At 36.0% G+C, this 19,146-nt stretch overlaps 1 protein-coding gene across 8 annotated transcripts in view; it reads left to right on the forward strand.

Moving 5' to 3' along the window:
- Window positions 1-19,146, forward strand: part of ASXL3 (ASXL transcriptional regulator 3) — a 172,977-nt gene that overhangs the window by 14,796 nt on the left and 139,035 nt on the right. For 2 of the 8 annotated variants that reach the window (XM_011526209.2, XM_011526212.2), the window contains exon 1: window positions 14,578-14,662. Coding sequence is in view for 5 of the 8 variants with exons in the window: in XM_011526205.3 (XP_011524507.1) it covers window positions 5,732-5,758; window positions 14,580-14,662; window positions 16,037-16,039 (113 nt within the window). In the remaining 3 variants the exon portion in view is untranslated. Of the gene's footprint in view, window positions 1-268; window positions 5,759-9,010; window positions 12,492-12,572; window positions 12,645-14,575; window positions 14,663-16,036; window positions 16,040-19,146 lie in introns of those variants that run through there. The other 6 variants (XM_011526205.3, XM_017026012.1, XM_011526206.3 and 3 more) reach the window with 6 other exon arrangements.

Raw genomic sequence — 19,146 nt, forward strand, 5'->3', positions numbered from 1 at the left:
TTTTAACCAGAGAGAGTAGAACAATCGTTGTAAACAAGGAATTGAATTCCAAGATTGTTGAAAAGATAGAGAAAGGGCACCTGGACATTTTAAATGAGTTCAGGTTCCCAAGTTGAGACAAATTGTGTTTCATTGAAAAGGTATGGCCAGATTTCCACACCACTGAGAAGGGGAAAGCAGACACTGTAACAATACTTCTTTCTTTCTTTATTTCTTTTCTTTTCTTTCTCCCCCTATGCCCACCTTTTTTTTTTTTTTTTTTTTTTTGGCCTAGGGCAGTGCTGGGAGAGAAGTACCCCCACCAGCAGATTATATTTCCCAGCCTGTCTGTCTCAGAGATTCCAGTCTATGTTTCCCATCCATTGAGGGCTCAGTTACCCTCGGGCTGTTTCCCACCAGTTTCCACTCTTCCTTAGATATCCCATGCAGAAACTCCTGGCAGCTCACAGATTCCCCATTGAGCCCAACCCCTTCATGTAGGAAAAGGGGGAAAAATGAAGAAAACTGGTCTTGAAAGCCCGCAGACTTTCATACCACAAGGAATGTGTTGACCACATGCATCTTAAACCAGACGAGCGACGTTTGTCCAGTCCTTCAACTTACTGATATTCAGCCATATCTGTTTCATGCTGTAAATTAAAACCTCAGAACCAGGAGGTTTTTCCCAATCCTTCTCACAAACAGGGATTAAGTTGTAAATACACAGTTGCTTACATATTAAATTGTATTTTGTTTATGGCATAATTTATCTGCAGGAGACATTGATTTTCACAGCAAATTCCTTTATCTTTAAAATTTTCAGCCTATATATGGGTATGCAGCCACTGAAATATTATTATAGGTGAGGCTACCTCTGAATTGCTAAGGTCACAAAACAAAATCTCCCATCTTTTTGTTTTAATTTCCCATAAAATAAAAGATATTTTACATTTATATCCCCTATTACTGGAACACCTACAGATTATCCAGATGTTTGTATTATTATATGTCCTCCATACCTGATGGCAGGCATAGTTATCTTTTAAACCTGAATGCAGGGGTAATTAACAACACTCTCAAAACTTTTTCTGTAGATAGCTTGCATTGAGAAGACGGATTCCTTGTGGGCTTAAATCCTACTGTCTGCAGTTGACCGAATATAAGAGAACAACATCTGGCCTAATTTATCTTTAGGCAAAATTTAATAATGCTGAATGGCAACCTCTGGGAAAAATCTAAGTAAGACTTGTTGTGAGTCCTAATTTAGGGTTGGCTAAAGGTAACTCTTACTTTGTATTTCTTTTTTCAAAGGGATGGGTATTTTGATCACATGAAAGTTAATAATTTTTCTTCGTTCTGTCATCAAAATGTGATATTACAGTATAATGAGCTCCCAACCTGGTTGTAAGCAGAACTCAGCTTGTAAAATCAGGACTAAGGAAGGCTAGGAAGCAACAGGGACTATCTGATTTCATGCAGAATCTTTTGTTGGCAAAGGCAAGTTTTAATATTCCATTGACTTCTCAAAGAGATCCAACCCCTATTTCATAGCAACAAACATTGGCTGATTGAAACCAGTCCTGCTTGCTTATAAATATACCTTAATTCCTCTAGCACATAGTTTAAGAAACAAGACCAGAAATGAGGAGTAAACTGGGGAGGGTTGGAAAACTGGGGTAATATTAAGGTAGGTAGTACATCAAGAAGCATGTAGAAATATTTGCCCTGAATTCGTTTAGCATAAATCTTAATTTATATATATATAAATGGGGTCTCACTATGTTGACCAGGCTGGTCTCTCATACTCCTGACCTCAAGTGATCCTCCCATCTTGGCCTCCCAAAGTGCTGGGATTACAGGCATGAACCACCATGCCTGGCCTATTTAGCACAAATCTTGATGCAGATATTTTAATTACATCATAATTGAGTATAGTAAATCAGGCTGGGAGTTCTTTGAGTTGGTTTGTAGTATAAACCATTATGGTAAATATTTATGCATGACTCAAATTGGAAACAGGAACACACATTTTGCTTAAGTCTACTGGTCTGTAGAAAGCCTGTGGTCTAAACTCTAAACTCTTAGGATACCTGCTTCATATTTTTAAAATGTTAGTCCTATTTTTGAAGCCTTGGAATCAGGAATTTCTTCACCTATTACTCATCAAAGTTCTAGGTAAATAACTTTTACCGCTAGAATTATTTATAACTTTGCCCGTGGACTCCCATTGTTGTAAAATGTTTATTTTTTTAGATATTACTTCTGGATGGGTCAAGTGCATATTTAACAAAGAAATACACCCTGCTTCTCAGAATTTTTGTTTATTAAGAGTTTGCATTGCCAGTGATGAGGTTTTAGAAATTGCTATCTTTCTGTTAATCTAAAGGAAGGAGATAAGTTAGCATCTGACTTAAAAGCATTTATTATATATCCTGTATCTTTTTAAAATATCCTATGAAAGGAATCAACTATAGGCTCAATAATTAGTATAATGAACACATTGGTCATGAAACTTTGGTCATCTAACCAATTTAATGAAAAGGAGAGTTTATTGGAAGACTCATAAGTTAGAAGCCATTGCAGCAAAATGGGAGGTTCTAGGTAATACTTGGAAAGTAAGAATGAAAGTAACTAGGACTCTCCCATCCTCTCTCTGCAGAGTATGCTTATTTTCTGAGCCTGGCTCACATGCCTACGAACATAGCTTCCAGCAAATCTCAGGCTCTCCTCACATAGTATCATTACCAGAAAGTAATCAAGATGTGTTTTCTTGAGTTTTAGGGTTGTACATCCTGGAGAAGATTAATGATTGGCTCTCCCTGTGTCCCCAACTCCAGCCATCCCTCCTTCCCATCCTTAATAGGAAGCTCTTCAGGAGTTGTTTCTTCCTGAAGGAATATGACAGGGATATGTCAGCTTCAGGAATGTAACAGCTTCCATTCAAATCAAAATGAGAAAGGGCATTCTTTGGAAGAAGGAAGTAGGGAATAATAAACTGAGTACATCAATTCTTTCTTGTCAATTCATTGTCTTCTTTTTTTTTTCATTAGGCAAGTATTACACACCTACATGTGCTAGTTACTGGAAATATAGCAGCAAACACATATCAAGATAACAATTCCATAGAATCTGAATTATAAAACCACCACTAGAAACAGGGTAGGCAGCGGTCATTTCTATGTAGAGTAGATTAGCATTTTGAATGAATATGAAAGAAGACATATAGCTTAGTTCCTTCCTTTCATTTTAAATCTATTTCTAAGTAAATTAAATGCTTGCCACCCTCCCTTCCCCCACTGTAGTAAGCCAGAGAGTAAATGTCTCCAGCAATGGTAATGGCAAATTTTATTGTATTTCATTTTAGTGTATGTGTGTGCTTGGTAAATATTTGTTAACTGAATGGATTATTGAGGTGGTGGTGGTGGTGTCCATCTATAGTCAGGAGAAAAGAATTACTATTAACTGTGACAAAATAAACATCATTGTTATTCAACATTTAAGTAGGCAGAATCAAATAATTTCATATAACAAAGTCATTTTATACGATTATCTAAAGATATATTTTACAACTAATTTCTTCTGGCAGATACATCTGGATGCTGTGTCATTTCAGACTAGTTTGTGGGAATAACATTGAATAATTTTTCTGACTCAGATTGAATGATGAGTAATGTTTGCTTTGGAAAAATTTCAGTCTTCCTGTATTTTATTTTCTTCACTATGATTACAGTATAAGGCATGTAACTGTTTCTGTTATTGGTTGAGTATTCATATTTGTTTTGTTTTTGAGCTGACCTTCTTTCTCTCTCTGTTTCATTCATTCATTCATTTACTCATTTTGAGACAGGGTCTGGCTCTGTTACCCAGGCTGGAGTGCAGTGGCATGATCTTGGCTCACTGCAATCTCCACCTCTCAGACTCAAAAGATCCTTCCACCTTAGCCTCCTAAGTAGCTAGGACTAGCACGTGCCACCACGCTTGGCTAATTTTTTTATCTTTTTGTAGAGACCAGGGTTTCACCATGTTGACCAGGCTGATCTCGAACTCCTGAGCTCGAGCGATCTGCCCGCCTTGGCCTCCCAGTGTGCTAGGATTACAGACGTGACCCACTGCGCCTAGCCTTGAGCTGACTTTTAAATCAGCTGTTAACAACTATATAACTTATATAATACATGCATAAGTCATATAAATTACATAATATGTAGAGTCTCCAGGATTACAATTATTAACGCTAATATTTTTATATGGCGGGGATGTGGGTGGGACTTTGTGGTGTACATGTATATGTACACCACAGACACTGGAATATATGCGTCCTCTCTATGTATTGTTCTTCAACATGTTTATTTTTACTTACCACTTTCTCATGGACATCCTCCCATGTCAGTACATATTTTCTTATTTCTTACCTTATTATTTCTATTATTTTATGGTATGTATGTACCTTCATTTATTTAACCATCTCCCTCTTAGACTACGTCTCATTATTTTGGAGTCATAATCTCATATAATGCTTCATTGTACATGCAGGATAGGCTGTGAATTTTTGTAAGAAAAATACCTAAAGGTAGATGAAGTTCAGTAAGTGAGACTGCCTACCTTTTACATTGTAATAGTACTGTTAAATTATCCTCCAAGTGAGATTTTACCATTTGATACAAGGCAGTATATTGTGATGGTGAAACACTTGGACAAGGAGGCATGGATTTGAATCCCAGTTCTGCTTCTTACCTGGGAATAACCTGGTATAAGTGAATTAAAAGTGAATTAATGTATTGGTGTCTCAGTTCTCTCATCTACAAAAAAAAAAAAACAAAAAAAACAAAAAACAAACAAAACAAATCTACCTGAGTGATTGTGAAATTAAATGTCTTAACATAAGTCAAGTTCTTAGAAAAATGCCTAGCCTATTTTGATTACGAAATGCTTTCTAGCATTATGTATTAGCTGCTCTTATTAACACTAGCATCTTATATGGATTCCCAAGATTTAAAACTTTAGGGTCTTGACTGATTGCTGCTCTTCACGTTATCCTGCAGGGAATGCTGGGTATCCCTGTTGTCTGTTTCCATAAGGACAGGTGTTTAGTATTCATATGTAGGCAAAAATATACACTAAGCACCTTAATTTTCATAATATTGTATTAATCCTACATCTGCAAATATTGTTTTCAGAGTTGTTATATATCTATCTATACTAGTAGTAGTAAAATATAAACCCCAAATTGTTAGAGTATCTAATCTTGATTTAATCATATTAGATCTTGGGAAGATTGTCTACTTTAATTATTTCATCTAATATTCTCATTTATATTTTTGTGTTATGTTTAGATTTTTATGGGAGGTTCTATAACAAAACTTATTATATGTCCCATGTTTGCTTTTACTTAGCCCTCCTTGTAAATATTGTCCATTGCCCCCCAGTGCCTCTGTATAAAAATGTCTATGTGAGACACTTCTCTTAGTTTAGAAATAAGAAAGCGTTTATCTGCTCTGACAAACTCATGTTTCTTTCATTCAGCTAATGAGAGTTAACTAATGTCTGCCTCTACATTTTAACTGCCATAAAATTGGGACAATGTTCAAGATCAAAGTCACAGCAACTTTATCATCGGGCATGATTTCTCATTTTTGAAGCATTTCACTGGATTAGTCTCTTTTAAACTAGTGCAAGTTTCTTTCAAGGAGATGTGATAAGAAAAGTTACATGAGATAAGTTATCTGGGATAAGAAATGATGACATATGAACCTCGATGACAAGACACTGTAAGAATCTGCAGGTATGACCAGGAGGTATTGTGGATAACCATGGGGATAATCATGGAGAACAGGAGAGCAGTTGTCCAAAGGCCTGGGTTCAGATCTTTGTTCTCCCACTTTCTAGCTGTGTAACACTGGGCAAATTAAATTAACTCCTTTGTATCTTCATTAATTCATCTATCATCTATAAAATGAGGGGGACAATAGGCCCTATGTGATAGGGTTGTTAAAAGTATTAAATGAACTCATATGCATGTTAGAATAATGCTTAATGCAGAGTAACTGCATTTTAAAAAAGAGAAGAGAAAAATTTTTAATTATAGATTGTTGAGCTTCATCTCAACCTTCAGTAAAATACAAGAGTGTATTGTTAAACAGATGACTGTAAGCATATAGAAGCGGAAGATCATATCCCTGGAAGGCATTATGGATTCTCTAATTCATGTCAAACTAAATTAATTTATTTTTGATAGGATTATTAGACTTATACATCAGGAAGATGCATATGTTAGAGCTAAATTTCAGCCAGTCATTTGATATAAGTCTGTTTATTGTAAAACTCATTCATAAGTGATGGACACTTATAAACTGGGTGGTAGTATAATTAAATGAATTTGTAGTGGATTGAACATGTATAGATAAAGTATATAGATTGAGTAATCAGTATCAGTCTGAAAAGAGATCCCAGTGGCAGCCACAACAGTTTGTTTTCCATTGCTTTGTTTAGCTCTGTCATGAATAACTTGGAGGAATAAGTCAAAATCATGCTTGTCAAATAGGTGGCCAATAAAATAAGGGAAACCGAGCAATTGGAAAACAATGGGGATTACAAAAGAACTTTGTAAGCTTGAGAAAATAATATGTAACTAAAAGATAAAATTTACTTGAGATCACAGTGTCCTTTTTTGCAGCAGGTTTTTTTGGGGCATGTAGAAATCCAGTGGAGGAGATTTCTGGGATGAGTTTAGCTGTTACTTTCAATAATCAGCTATTTGGCACTAATAAGATTTCAGAGCCTAAATAACTGGATTAAACAAACACTAGTGCATTAAAACAAAGATATGCTTATGCCTGGCAAGTTTGGAAAACACACCACAGAGCTGTGGGTGCAATTTCAGAAGCAGATATTGAAAGATCTGGAACTTTTAGTTGAGTGACAATGTGAGGTGGCTGCTGAAAAAAAGCACGTCATATTAGGTTAATGTAGTTACTGCAGATAGAAAAAAATGATTTTCCCATATTCTATTTGGATCAAGCTACAGTTAAAATATTTATCAATTTTTAGCTCATTTATTTTAATGAGTGTAATTCTTAAATGTATTTTAAAAGTGACACTGGAAAACTCAAGAATGTTCAGAGAAGGATGATTTGGGTGACTGTGTTTGCAAACTACTTTATATGAAGATTGATGAAGAAACTAAGGATCTATTAGTCTGGAAACAAAGGGAGACTTGGTCTGAATAGTGTTTAAAAATATGTGGCAACGTATTTTGTGTATAACTTATTGAATCCCATAATTGTAAACTTATATAACACAATTGCCTTTTGACCTTACGTGATAAAACAGTGTTTGTAATTTAACATTAAATAATTATTGTTATATTCAAAGGCAAAAACTAGGATTACTTGATAGAAATGAAAGGAAAGCATAATGTTTACTTGAAGTACTGAAAAAACTTTAATAGTTACTAAGCTCTTAAGAGAATAGACTGCCTGCAAATTTCTGTAGTAGGAAGATTTCTCTGTTTTTTGTTAAGAGAAGTTTTACTTTGTAAAACAAGTTTTACATATCATTATTTAAACAATTATTCTTTTCTTACTTTTTAGAACATTGTGTAAATTCTGAGTGTCTGCCACTTTGTTTTCTTTCTGTGTGAAAAAGGAATGCGAAGTGTTTTAAATGATTAGAAACTTACTGAGATCCAAAAAAGTTGCCAAAATCCTGCAGGAAATTAGGATTCACTTCTCAATTGCATAGAATTTCATCTGCAAATTCAGGGAATGACCACTTTGTTTGAAACTCCAAAAACCATGTCTTTCAGCTGTGCTCAGGTTTTATGACCCTGGGCAACTGAAGTATGTTGCTATAAAACAGAGTTTCCTTCTCATGAATATTCTATGATACCATATATCATAATTGCTTGAAAGTTTCAGTATATGTTGTTGGAAGTAAGTTGTTACTGTTGATATTCTATATTTTTGATTTGTAACAAGCAAAACAAGATAATTGGTCCTTTAGTATGCTCTTCTTCCTAGTCATCTGAACAGTATCTAAAAGCATGCCATGAGGAAACCAGGCACAGTATGGTGCAGGCTTTCCTGTGCCTCATTGGTGGAATACGTTTGGAATTGGTCAGGCAACGAGGGATGAGAATATGTGGCTAGTCTGATTTGTAGTAACTAGTGAAGTTTACTTAGGAAATCTCAGACCACATTTAATTCCTATGATTTTCTGGTAGCGCTCTTCTTTGTATTGAAAAAAATCTGTGTTTCTAGGCTGTGTTCAAAGGGGCCAGCTTTTTTTTTTCAGCCAATAATATTAGCTACTATTTATTAACACTCATTGCTGTAGGCAGTCATTTGGCTCATTGGAATAATAAGTGCTTTATATTCATTATCTCATTTAGTCCTCACAATATTTTTGTGAGTAAGGAAGAGAAGAAATTATGACTCAGAGATTTCTGATGTCTTATCTAACATCAGACATCTAGTGAGTAGGGATTCCTGGTTCATCTGATTCCAGAGCTCACAACCTTCATTATTATTCTATAAAAAGTTCCAAATATAGAATGACTGAAAACATTCCCCCAAATTAACTTGGTCTTTGTTTATTGGAGCCTATTTAGTAGTGCTACAATTTGGAGATATAGATGTGAATGAGGACCAAGGCCCAGGATTACATGAGGTTTACAGTGAGCAGGAAGAATATCATTAAACAAGATAACACTAATTAATGACAATTTTGACAGGTCCTATACCAAGGGAATGTATAGTTTAAACCATTATCTGAGAATTTAAGTAAATATCTGATTGTATATATATAGTTTGTTTGTTTTGAGACAGGGTGTTACACTGTCATCCAGGCTGGAGTGCCGTGTTGCAATCACTGCTCACTGCAGCCTCAATTTCCTAGGCTGAAGCAATCCTTCTGCCTCAGCCTACCAAGTAGCTGGGACTATAGGCACACACCACTATGCCTTGCTTATTGTTATTTATTTATTTTTATTTTTTTAGAGACAGGGTCTCACTGTGTTTCCCAGGTTGGTCTCGAACTCCTGGGCTCAAACGATCTGCATACCTGAGCCTTCCAAATTGTTGAGATTACAGGCATGAGCCACCACGTCTGGGCTGATTGTTCTTAAGTGTGAAATTGCTGAACTGGGGTTTGTGAGAGCGATGATACCTTGACTTATGATAATCTAACTAATGCCTAATTATCTGAGGTGGAAGTTTCATCCAGAAACTGTTCCCCCCTGCCATTCTATGGAAAAATTGTCTTCCATGAAACCAGTCCCTGGTGCCAAAAAGGTAGGGGACAGCTATACAATAGCATATAATTTTACCATAAAGTACATTTAAATAGAATAGAAAATTGTTAGTATCATCTTTAACCCTTCATCCAGCAGCCACATATGCTGGGAGTGAAGAACAACCTGATTGAGCTGTGAATACTGGGTATTTGCTGAGGTGCTGTCACTTTTGATGTAATTTATTTTCTCATCTGAAGGCTATCAGTAATCCAAGTTCATGTTTCATCAAAATGACATGGACCTTTGAGGTTTTCAAGAGTAGTAGAAATAGGGAATGTTAAACATATTAATTCTAAGTCTTTTGTAATAATGGAAAGCCCCCAGAGAGGACTTAGCACATAGGAGTTGTCTAATAAATATTAGCTGCTCTTATTATACTTAAACATTGTCATCAGTATCGTAATGCATACAGGTCCTGTTCATCTAGTCACTAGCCTAATGGCCTTGAGCCAATTCAGCTTTGTACATCTCAGAGAATGTTAATAATACTTCTCTATGCATCTCACTGAGTTGTTTTGAGGATCAAATAAAATAACATATGTTGTGTGAAGCAAATGAAATAAAATATGTTGTATAAAAGTCATCTGTAATTGTAAAGAGGTATATAATGGTTTATTGTTGTTATAACCCCAAAATCGTTTACCTTGGACATGAGGCCCTAAACATCTGAACACTTTAATGAACTGCCAGTATTGATTGAGGGAAGATGACACATTAATGTTAGAAAAAGGGAGAAAGCCTGGTCACTGATACCCACTTAGAATTCCACAAATGTAGACATCTATCATTGAAATGGTACTTAAATTGTAGGGATTATTTTTTATTTTGCCGTCAAATAAGTAAGCTCTCTCAGAAAGTTTTATTTTGGGCCAGAAGGGCAAAAATTTTAACCTTTAAATGAACACTGGTCTAATGTGTTGATCTTAGAGATACTTAGAATGAGTTTTCTCTTTGAGAGACACCAAGGAATTCTTGAGTAAGCCTTAATATGCTTGAGCCAGTGTTCCTGGGCCAGAAAGGTACTTAAGGACCAAAGTTAACACATAGAAAATTGCATTCTTAACTTGGCCCTAAATGATTTGGCAAATCATCTCTCTTTCCTTTAATTATATTGCAGGTATTACAGGTCCTTTTTTGCATTTTTTTTCTCCCCATACTAGGACGTGTAGTAGTCTAGGGGAGGAAATTTCTGGAATGAGACTATCTTGCCTCAAAACTGTATGAATGTATATGTCTTTGAGATAGGCCCTGATAGAGTTAGTTAGATAAGAAGGTGGAATGTAATGGTATGTTTGCTAGCTCTGTACATCTGTTTACCTCCTGTGAAAAATAGATCCACCACTAGGAAGGCAGCTAGTTGTGTGTTTGCTTTGTGCACCAGCCGTGGAGAGTCCCGTTTGTGGAGAGCAATGTTGAATTTGAAACCTTTCATGGAGTAGAAGTGAAGAAAAAAGAAAGTAGCTGGGAATTGAAAAGACTTCAGTCCATGAGAGATGCAAGACATCTCAGAGATTGAGTGAAGTAAGATCACAAATATAGTTTTAACACAAGAGAACAATTTGTTTTACAAAGAAAGAAAGGACATTTTATGTAAAAATTGAGCACTGTTTCAGAATCTGATTTGTGAAGAGACAGTGATATGTGGCCAGTGGTTTGTAATTACAATCTTCCTGGCAGTGCTAGTTCCAATAATTCTAGCTACAGATATTCTTAGCGAAACTCAGCAGTTTTAGGGGACTGTTTTTGAGGAAATGAATTGTAAAGTGCTCAGATTTTCAGCAAAAATTTTTTTGAAATGGACTAAGAAAGATTAATTGTTAGCCAATATAAATAATGTAGGAAAGATAAAGCATACAGCTATTATAAAGGAGAAGCAATTCACAATATTTGTAGAAAACATGATTGTATACTCTGTGCTATTAAAACTATTAACTCAATTAACTATTCATATAGATAATAATTACCCTGATTTAGTGGCTTTTATATGTATTAGCAATAGAACGTGGGACTATTACATGAAAAAAGTATATTCAAAGTTGCAACTGAAAATATAAAATAATAGAAAGCTTATTACAGGTTACAAAATAAATCTTAAGTGGAATGATGTATAAAATTCCTCGGAATTTAATTAGATGTTTCGTTGAATTCCAATCTCAATTTCATCTGGAAAAATAAAGTGAATAATTAGAAACTTAAGAAGGAGTAATGAGAGCAGTGTCCTGTTCAGAGAGTGAAGTATAATATTACAGCAATTAAAACAGTGTAGTGTTGGCTCAGCAATTGATGGAAAGATCAGTGGAACCTAGTGGGACCCCTGGACAAAGCCCCCCAAGGACAGCGTTATGCAGTTTCTTCTGGAGACTCTTAAAATTCCCAGAAGTGCCGTTAGCCATTAGAGGGAGTAAGTGTGGGGGTCCAAGCTCTCTCATCTCCAGCTCAACATGAACAGCTCTGCATTTGTGTGTTTTATATATTGGGTTCCCACATTTATATTTAGGTTTCACATTTTGAAAAGTTTTTATTGCCCTACTACTAACATATGGTAGAGGATGCCTCACTAGCCAATGTGTGGCATATGAAACAAATTATGTTGGGGAAATAAGGCTTACTGTGGGGAGGAGGGGGCAGATGTTAATATTTCACTTTAGCAAAAAATATAAATTCGAGATGAATTAAAAAATAAGTACTTGAAAGAAATACTTGTAGGTATTTGCATGCTCTCTGGATAAAAGGAATTTCTAAACATTAAAGAAGTTAATGGAAAAGCCTGATGAATAGTTGCTTGTGTAACAATAAATAAAACAGATCTCCCACCAAAACATCCAAAATGTAAGCAACAACAAGACCAGGTAGTGCCTTATGGTCAAGAGATTGTTGGGGCAATGGACAGTTAGTCTAAGGTTTGGGTCTGGTAGCTTAAGATGCCTTTGTGCTCTGACTGTGGCTTGCCCCACTCAGTGTATTAGAGTATGGCTGTCTGTGAGTCTGATTCATGTCTCTGCCATGTGTCACATTATTTTGATGGCATCAATGTTTTGTTCTGTGAAGATAATTTCTCCTTATCTTTTGTTCTATTAATGTTTACACAGCTCAATCAATAAAGCTTGTTCACACCCAGGAACCTCTCCTTCTCTCTGTTCTCTGTCTTGCAGGAATTGAGGGTGGCTTCTGGTGTTTTGTGTGGCTTCATCATTTCCTTCCTGCCTCTCATCCACTTCATGATGTAATTCTTGGCACTTTTACTTCCTTTGTAGAGTAGGATGTGATGTCATAGAGAAGGGGACAGGGCTATCCAAATTCTCTCAATTGCTGGGAGGAGCTGCCCAGGTGTGCTGAGGGGCCTGTACTCAGGAAGAGAAACAGGGAATCCTCCACAGTGAGTAACCCCAATTTCCAGTGTGCCCAAATTTCCATTTAAACATTGTCTAGTACACTAGAGTTTCTTCTTTGGCCCTTTCTAGATTTAATCAGTTTGCCTTTAGACATTCCCAGTTCAGCTCAATTTTCCTCCTTTCTCACCCTCCTCCTATCTGTCTCCTCTTTCCCCATCGTATGCCTTTCCCTCCAGTTGCCCTCTTCCTTGCTTGCTTCCTGTGTGTCTGTGTCTATTGACCTCCTGCCCATATCTTTTATGAGAGACCCGTTGCCTTTCATTTGAGGCAGTGCCCACACTATATATAGTCCATGTGAACACAGCATCTCCTTTCAGTAATTCATAATTATGTACTGTTCTACTTACAGTTCTTATTTTAAAACTTCTGTCAGCTTTTTGTTTTCATATCAGCTTCTTCCTCTTTTCCCTGTGCTCTTCTACTCTTTCCTTCTTTACAGCTCTATTATGCAGTTTCCTTATTGCCTTTTTTCCAATATATTTATACTCCTCTTCCCTAAACAACTTTGCCTATGTTTCTGTTTCCCCTTTTCGAGTGTTCAGTTCACCTCTACAGTGTCCTCTTCTGCAAGGACCATTTTCCTTCCTTCCCGTTCACATATTCGTTGCCATACCCTTGTTGTAGTGTGGCTCATATTTCTGTATTCTTTTAATAATTTATAACATGAGTAAGGAAGGGGCTGATCAGGATTGGGAAAAAGGAGGAAATTTCCTGGGAACTAGAAAGAGAGAATAGGAAAGTGTCTGAAAGGTTAGGATGGGCAGGCTGTGTGCAACACACTGAGGGACCTTGATGAACAGAGCCTTCACTTGTGAATCAGTTGAAATTTGGTTATTGACAGTATAAGAGATCACAGAGCCATTTTGAACAGATTTGGAAGCCTTTTCAAGTTTACATTTTCAGAATGACCCTGTTAATTCTTAATAATTATGATTCTTCCAATAATCATAGATTAGAACTCTAGTGTCTCTAAGTTACAAGAGGCCATGACTTGAGCATGAAGCTCTTGCATAGCATCTTTAATTAGGTGTCATCTACCCTTGGAGTAGGTCATTGTGGAGATGTGTGTAACTTGTTTCTTGTACCCAGATGTGGTCCCTGTAGTTCATGTTGGTGCACAATAGGGGCACTGCTGCTTATTGTTTCCACCACATGGGGTTAAGTCCCTGCAAAATAAAGGAACCTGTTTTCCAGGGCTGATGGTCTAAGACCTGTGGAAATAATCAGCTATGTCCTGTGTATTCCACACCCTTTGTTTAAAAGAACCCCTTTCACAAAAGATAAGTAGGGCAGAAGAGGAGAGAAAGAGAATGGGACTGAGTTCATATGACTGAGATAGGCTAAATCGGAAGAGGAAAGGGCTTACTTGAAATTAATTGGAAAAGGCAAAGGAAAGGAAACTGAGCTGAACTGGAAAACACACTGTAATGAGTTACTTGGGTTCCTGTATGCTTCTTTCAACATTTTGGCCGTGAATCCAGTGAGGCTGTTTGTGACCAGCACTCCGTTCTCTTCTATTGGTAGTATTCAGGCTCCATGTTTCCAAGGACCTGGAATCTTAGGAAACATTTTAACAGCCTGAAAACATGACTTTCACCATAAAATTTTAGCAACTTTTTAAATAAAGGAAATTATATACATTTGTTAACTTGTTTTCTTTAGGGTTCACATTCCTTTTTTGGTATGTACGCCTTTGTGACATGTTTGAAGGATGGCCCCTTTTTGTTGCAGAAATTTCCGATTTAAATGTCCAAAAAAATTACGTTCTTCCTTTGGACACCTGATCTGTATGATGGACTGCTTTTGATGTAAAAGCCCCTTCCCCTCTAATAAAATAAGCAGAGAATGCATGATTCACATACATTTTCATTTTGTATGCTGCCATGCAATAATCTAGGAATCTTATGTTTATATTTTAGGCACTAGAAAAACACCCCAACTCACCAATGACAGCAAAGCAGATATTGGAAGTCATTCAGAAAGAAGGGTTAAAAGAAACAAGGTCAGTATCCATATTTAAAACATTTTCTGTTTTCATTAAATAATAATTGCCACTCGTTGCTAAGCGATAGGTGTATCTAGATTTTGATATTGTAGTTGATTGTGAATTAACTCCCCACAAATTCTTTCTAATTAAGAAATCGTTGGATGATTTAAGATTTCCTTGGACTTGCCTGTTACCTTAATACATTACGTTAGATGGATTGATACAGGAGGTACTTTCTTAACAAAGAACAGCACTGTGTGACTTAGCCCCTCATTGAAGTTATTCCTGTTTCTTGTAAGAGGAGATTGTGTTTCTGAAACCAAATGGTGAAAGAGAAACACTTTTACAGGTTTAATAGGTAGATCCTAGGATATAAAGATGAGCTCACTTTGATAAAATTCAGTGCCAATAAATGTGGTTGAAAATCTAGTCCTCTTATATTTAAGAACTCTACTTGGTGCATCCCGTAATAGCTGTTGAGCCTAATATTTATCCTTTTAAAATGTACAGTTTAGTGGGTTATGTTATATTCACAAAGTTCTGCATCATCAACATTATCAAACTTTAGAACATTTTCATCACCCTAAAATGAAACCCTGTACCCATTAGCGGTCACTCCATATCCCAACTACTCTTGCCTGTGGCAACTGCTAGTCCACTTTCTGTCTCTATGGACTTGCTATTCTAGATATTTAATATAAGTGGAATCATCTAATATGTAGCCTTTTGTGAAAGGCTTATTTGACTTAGCATATAATATTTTCAAGGTTTTCTCATGTTGTAGCATATATCAGGAATTCATTCCTTTTGGTTGCAGGTAGTATTTCACTGATGATTCTTTATTCTTGGGTATTAATTTTATGGTTTTGGCTTTAGATAGCAGGTTAGGGCCATATAGATGATACTACTCAAGGAGAAAAAGGTTTACTATAGGATAAAACAACTATGATGTTGTCATATGTGTATGTAATCAGCCATGTTACATAGAATAGATTTGTGTACATGAATTGTCCATCTGTAAGCCATTGAGCATACAGTAGTTGCAACTTGATGAAATTAAACCTACTGAACTGCCTTTTGAATGTTTTCATTGATGTGGATATAGAAACTGCTAAGATAAATAAATATCCTTCTGAGGCTGACTTTTTGTGAAAAATAGGTTTCACCTATAACTCCTGTAACTTTAATGTGTGGGTAACATCAGCCTCTAGCTGTTTAAAATGTATTATTTAGCAAGGTAGGTCCATGGACATCACAATTTACTGGCGTACAGGACACCTATGCTCAAATTTTCATTTTTTATTTTGGAGACTTTTTTTTTTTGCCTACGCTGGAGAAATAGCCTAAGATAATATAACCACGCTGTGTTTGTGCTAGTTGTTCCCCCAGAAAGTGGAGGCAGCAGTGGATAGATTAGTTGCTAACAGTACCTAACAATTCTGTTAAAGGAGATCCTATTTTAACCCGGATGTCAGTTTAAGGAGTTAGGGAACAAAATCAGGAAAACAGGAGATTAATTTTCTTCTTGCCACCTGTCAGTAACCCTGGAAATATTTATGACATTTAGAAAGCACTGAAAATATTTGTGCCACAGTCAAAAGAAAAGAGGGGCTAAAAATCTAAGGATGTCTACTGTCTTATGTGGGCTTTGTTGCCAGAGGAATCTGCCAACTTGGACATAAAAAGCACCTCCTAAAAGCAGACGTTTGAAATTCGTTCATTAAGATATTCTTCTCCACAGGAATGACTCTGCTGTTATCAGTTGTTATGAAGCTAGAGATATAAAAATCCCTGTACCGTGGCTCACAACATTTTAATTACACTTGTTATCATTATATCATTATTTCAATTTTTTCAAAATGCTGGTCCTCCCAGAATGGTATATAAGAGGGCTTTCAGCATGCATAGTTAACAAATACAAACAAATTTTAAAAACCAACTTCTTCAAAGAGTAATTAAAGAACACTGAAATGGGAAACATAACTCCCTAGTCCTCTAAATTGAATCCCTCTCCCCACTTCACCCACTACATCACTATTTGTCCTTCTGTAAGGAAAAAGAGTCCTTTGTTACAAACACTCATGAACCAGTATAGTATTAGTGAAAGTACCTGCACACAATTACCAGTTTGAATAGGGAAGGGAAAGGCAAAGAAAGAGAACACAGTTGAAGTTTTCTTCTGTAAAATCTGCTCTGCATCAAGTGGCCTCAGACTATGCATTTTGTGCTCCCATTTGTTTTTTCATTCTATTCCTTTAAATTTCCCCCTTCTTGTCAATGGTAATCCATTACTTATGGCTCATGCATCTCTGCTCACTGTTCCCTTGCTTTCTAGTTCTAATTTGCTTATTTGAGTCACCTCTAAAATATACATACCTAGCTTTTGAGTAAGTTTAGGACTGTCCTGTATGTATGTATGTTGTTTCAAGGAGCAGATACTGACATTTATTTTGCCTACTTAATGTACTGTTTTGTTACTTTCCAAGTTTTTAAATGTTTTCCAAATATTTAAGGCAGTTGAGTAAATGAAGTGTAACTGTATGTATTTTTCTTAAGTAAAGTTTAGAAATTCCACCTTCATGAAGTCAAACATAAGCTGATTGATTTCTAGGTATTTACTAATGATGTGTTTTAAGAAATGCACATTGGTAATATGCCTGATTAAATACAGGGAAGTGCTTGTGAAGTTACTAATATGGCCATAACCCTCTGGTGGTCTCTTCTATGGATGAAAGGTAATGTTTTAATGGTCCTCCCCCAAACAGTCCTCCACTGTACCTAGCAGTTCTAGACAGTAGAAGATAAGGTCTTCAGCCATCATCATTCCAATCTGTACTCAAAGCAAGGCCATTTGTTTCAAGTGCTATCGGGGTCCTTCATTCTATGTGTGCCAGGCAGGTCTCCGAGAGCACTTACCTCGCTGTACTGTAATTTTGTCTTTGTATGTCTTCCCTGCCTGTGTGTGAGCTCCTTAAGGGCAGGGTACCTAACACTCCTGGCTCTCGGCAGATACTCAATAAACAGTTGTTTAGTCAATAATCTTCATTCTCAAGACGTTAATTTGCTGGTGCTTAGTAACAACTTCGGCTTGCATTCAGAGTTAGAAGCTTCTTTTTGACATTACATGTTATATTTTTATGATATTTAATAGTAGTTATTTTTAACATCAAAAGAAACTTAACACGTTTGTGGAAATCCCATTAAATATATGTATGCTGATAGTTTCCAGCAGGTTATCTGTGAACAACTAAAGTTATGGTGCTGTTGCTTGTTTTCAAACACTGTGAAAGCCACTGGTTTGAACTTGCAACTTATAATAGAAAAACTACATTATAATTTTGTTAAAACTAATGAGGATATTTGAATGTGTTCGTTATATATGTTACTGTTATTTGACTGAGGTGAAATTTGACATTGTATGCTATATTTTCCTCTTTACAACTGACACTTTAAATATAATTTTCATGTAGACATGATAAAGATAGGACAACTTTTTTACATCATGTTCTGTGTCTCATCTTCATATTATTGATGAAATGTGTAGAGTAGGATTGAATTCTATTTGGAAAAGCCAGAATGAAATAAGTACCTTCCATGTGGGTAAAAAAGAAATATGAATATAATAAATTGTCAGAAGGACATGTGGTTTTGTTGAAAAAAAATAATAGAATGATTTTTTAAGATCTGGTTTTCTTTCTTATGAAAATATTCTTGGTAATTTTTACTTTCCCTCTGTATAATAGGGTAGAAGATTTTATTAATGTCATTTTCTTCTGGTCCCTCTGTGTGCTTGCTTCACTGATTCTGAGTATTTTTAGGGCTTCTGCCCTTTATGTTTATTGATTGTCAACAGTTGATCAATCAAAGTTATTGGAAGGCTTTTCAGATGATTGGAATCATATAATCAAATGGCCATGCTGCTTCTATAGACGGGATTAAAATGTGAATATTCCAGTCTGCTGCTTTTGTGGATGGATATTTGATATCCCTCTTTGGACTTCTTAGATAAACATCCTCACTTCCTTAGGGAGTTAGGGTGCTGCCATGGAATATGTTCTTGTCTGCAGTAAGTGAAAGTATTCATTTAGAAGAGAGGAGTACGTCTAGTTACAGTGTTGTTTTGGGTGATTTTGGGGGACATCCCAATTCTGATTTTCTGTTTTTGATTTGCTCATTCAGAGGTTATCATTCCTTTACCAAGAGGACTATGGGGTTTTTGATGCCTGAGGATGTGTTTTTTGATGCCATGTCTTACGTAATTTTTAAAGTGGTGCTTCCAAAGAAATGTGTGCTCTGTTATAGTAACATATCCAGGGGCTGCAAGGTTATGGAGTAAGGCTTGCATGACTTACATAGTGAGAGCAAAACAACCATTCATCAGTGAGGAATAATTTTTTATGTGCTGGGCATTATCATTACAAGATACCTGTCATTAATGTAGCATGAACTGTGATTTAGTTTTTATATTATTTGGTAATAGGCAAATAGTTTATAATGAG

The sequence above is a fragment of the Homo sapiens genome, chromosome 18 (assembly GCF_000001405.40).
Source record: "Homo sapiens chromosome 18, GRCh38.p14 Primary Assembly".
Lineage (NCBI taxonomy): Eukaryota > Metazoa > Chordata > Mammalia > Primates > Hominidae > Homo > Homo sapiens.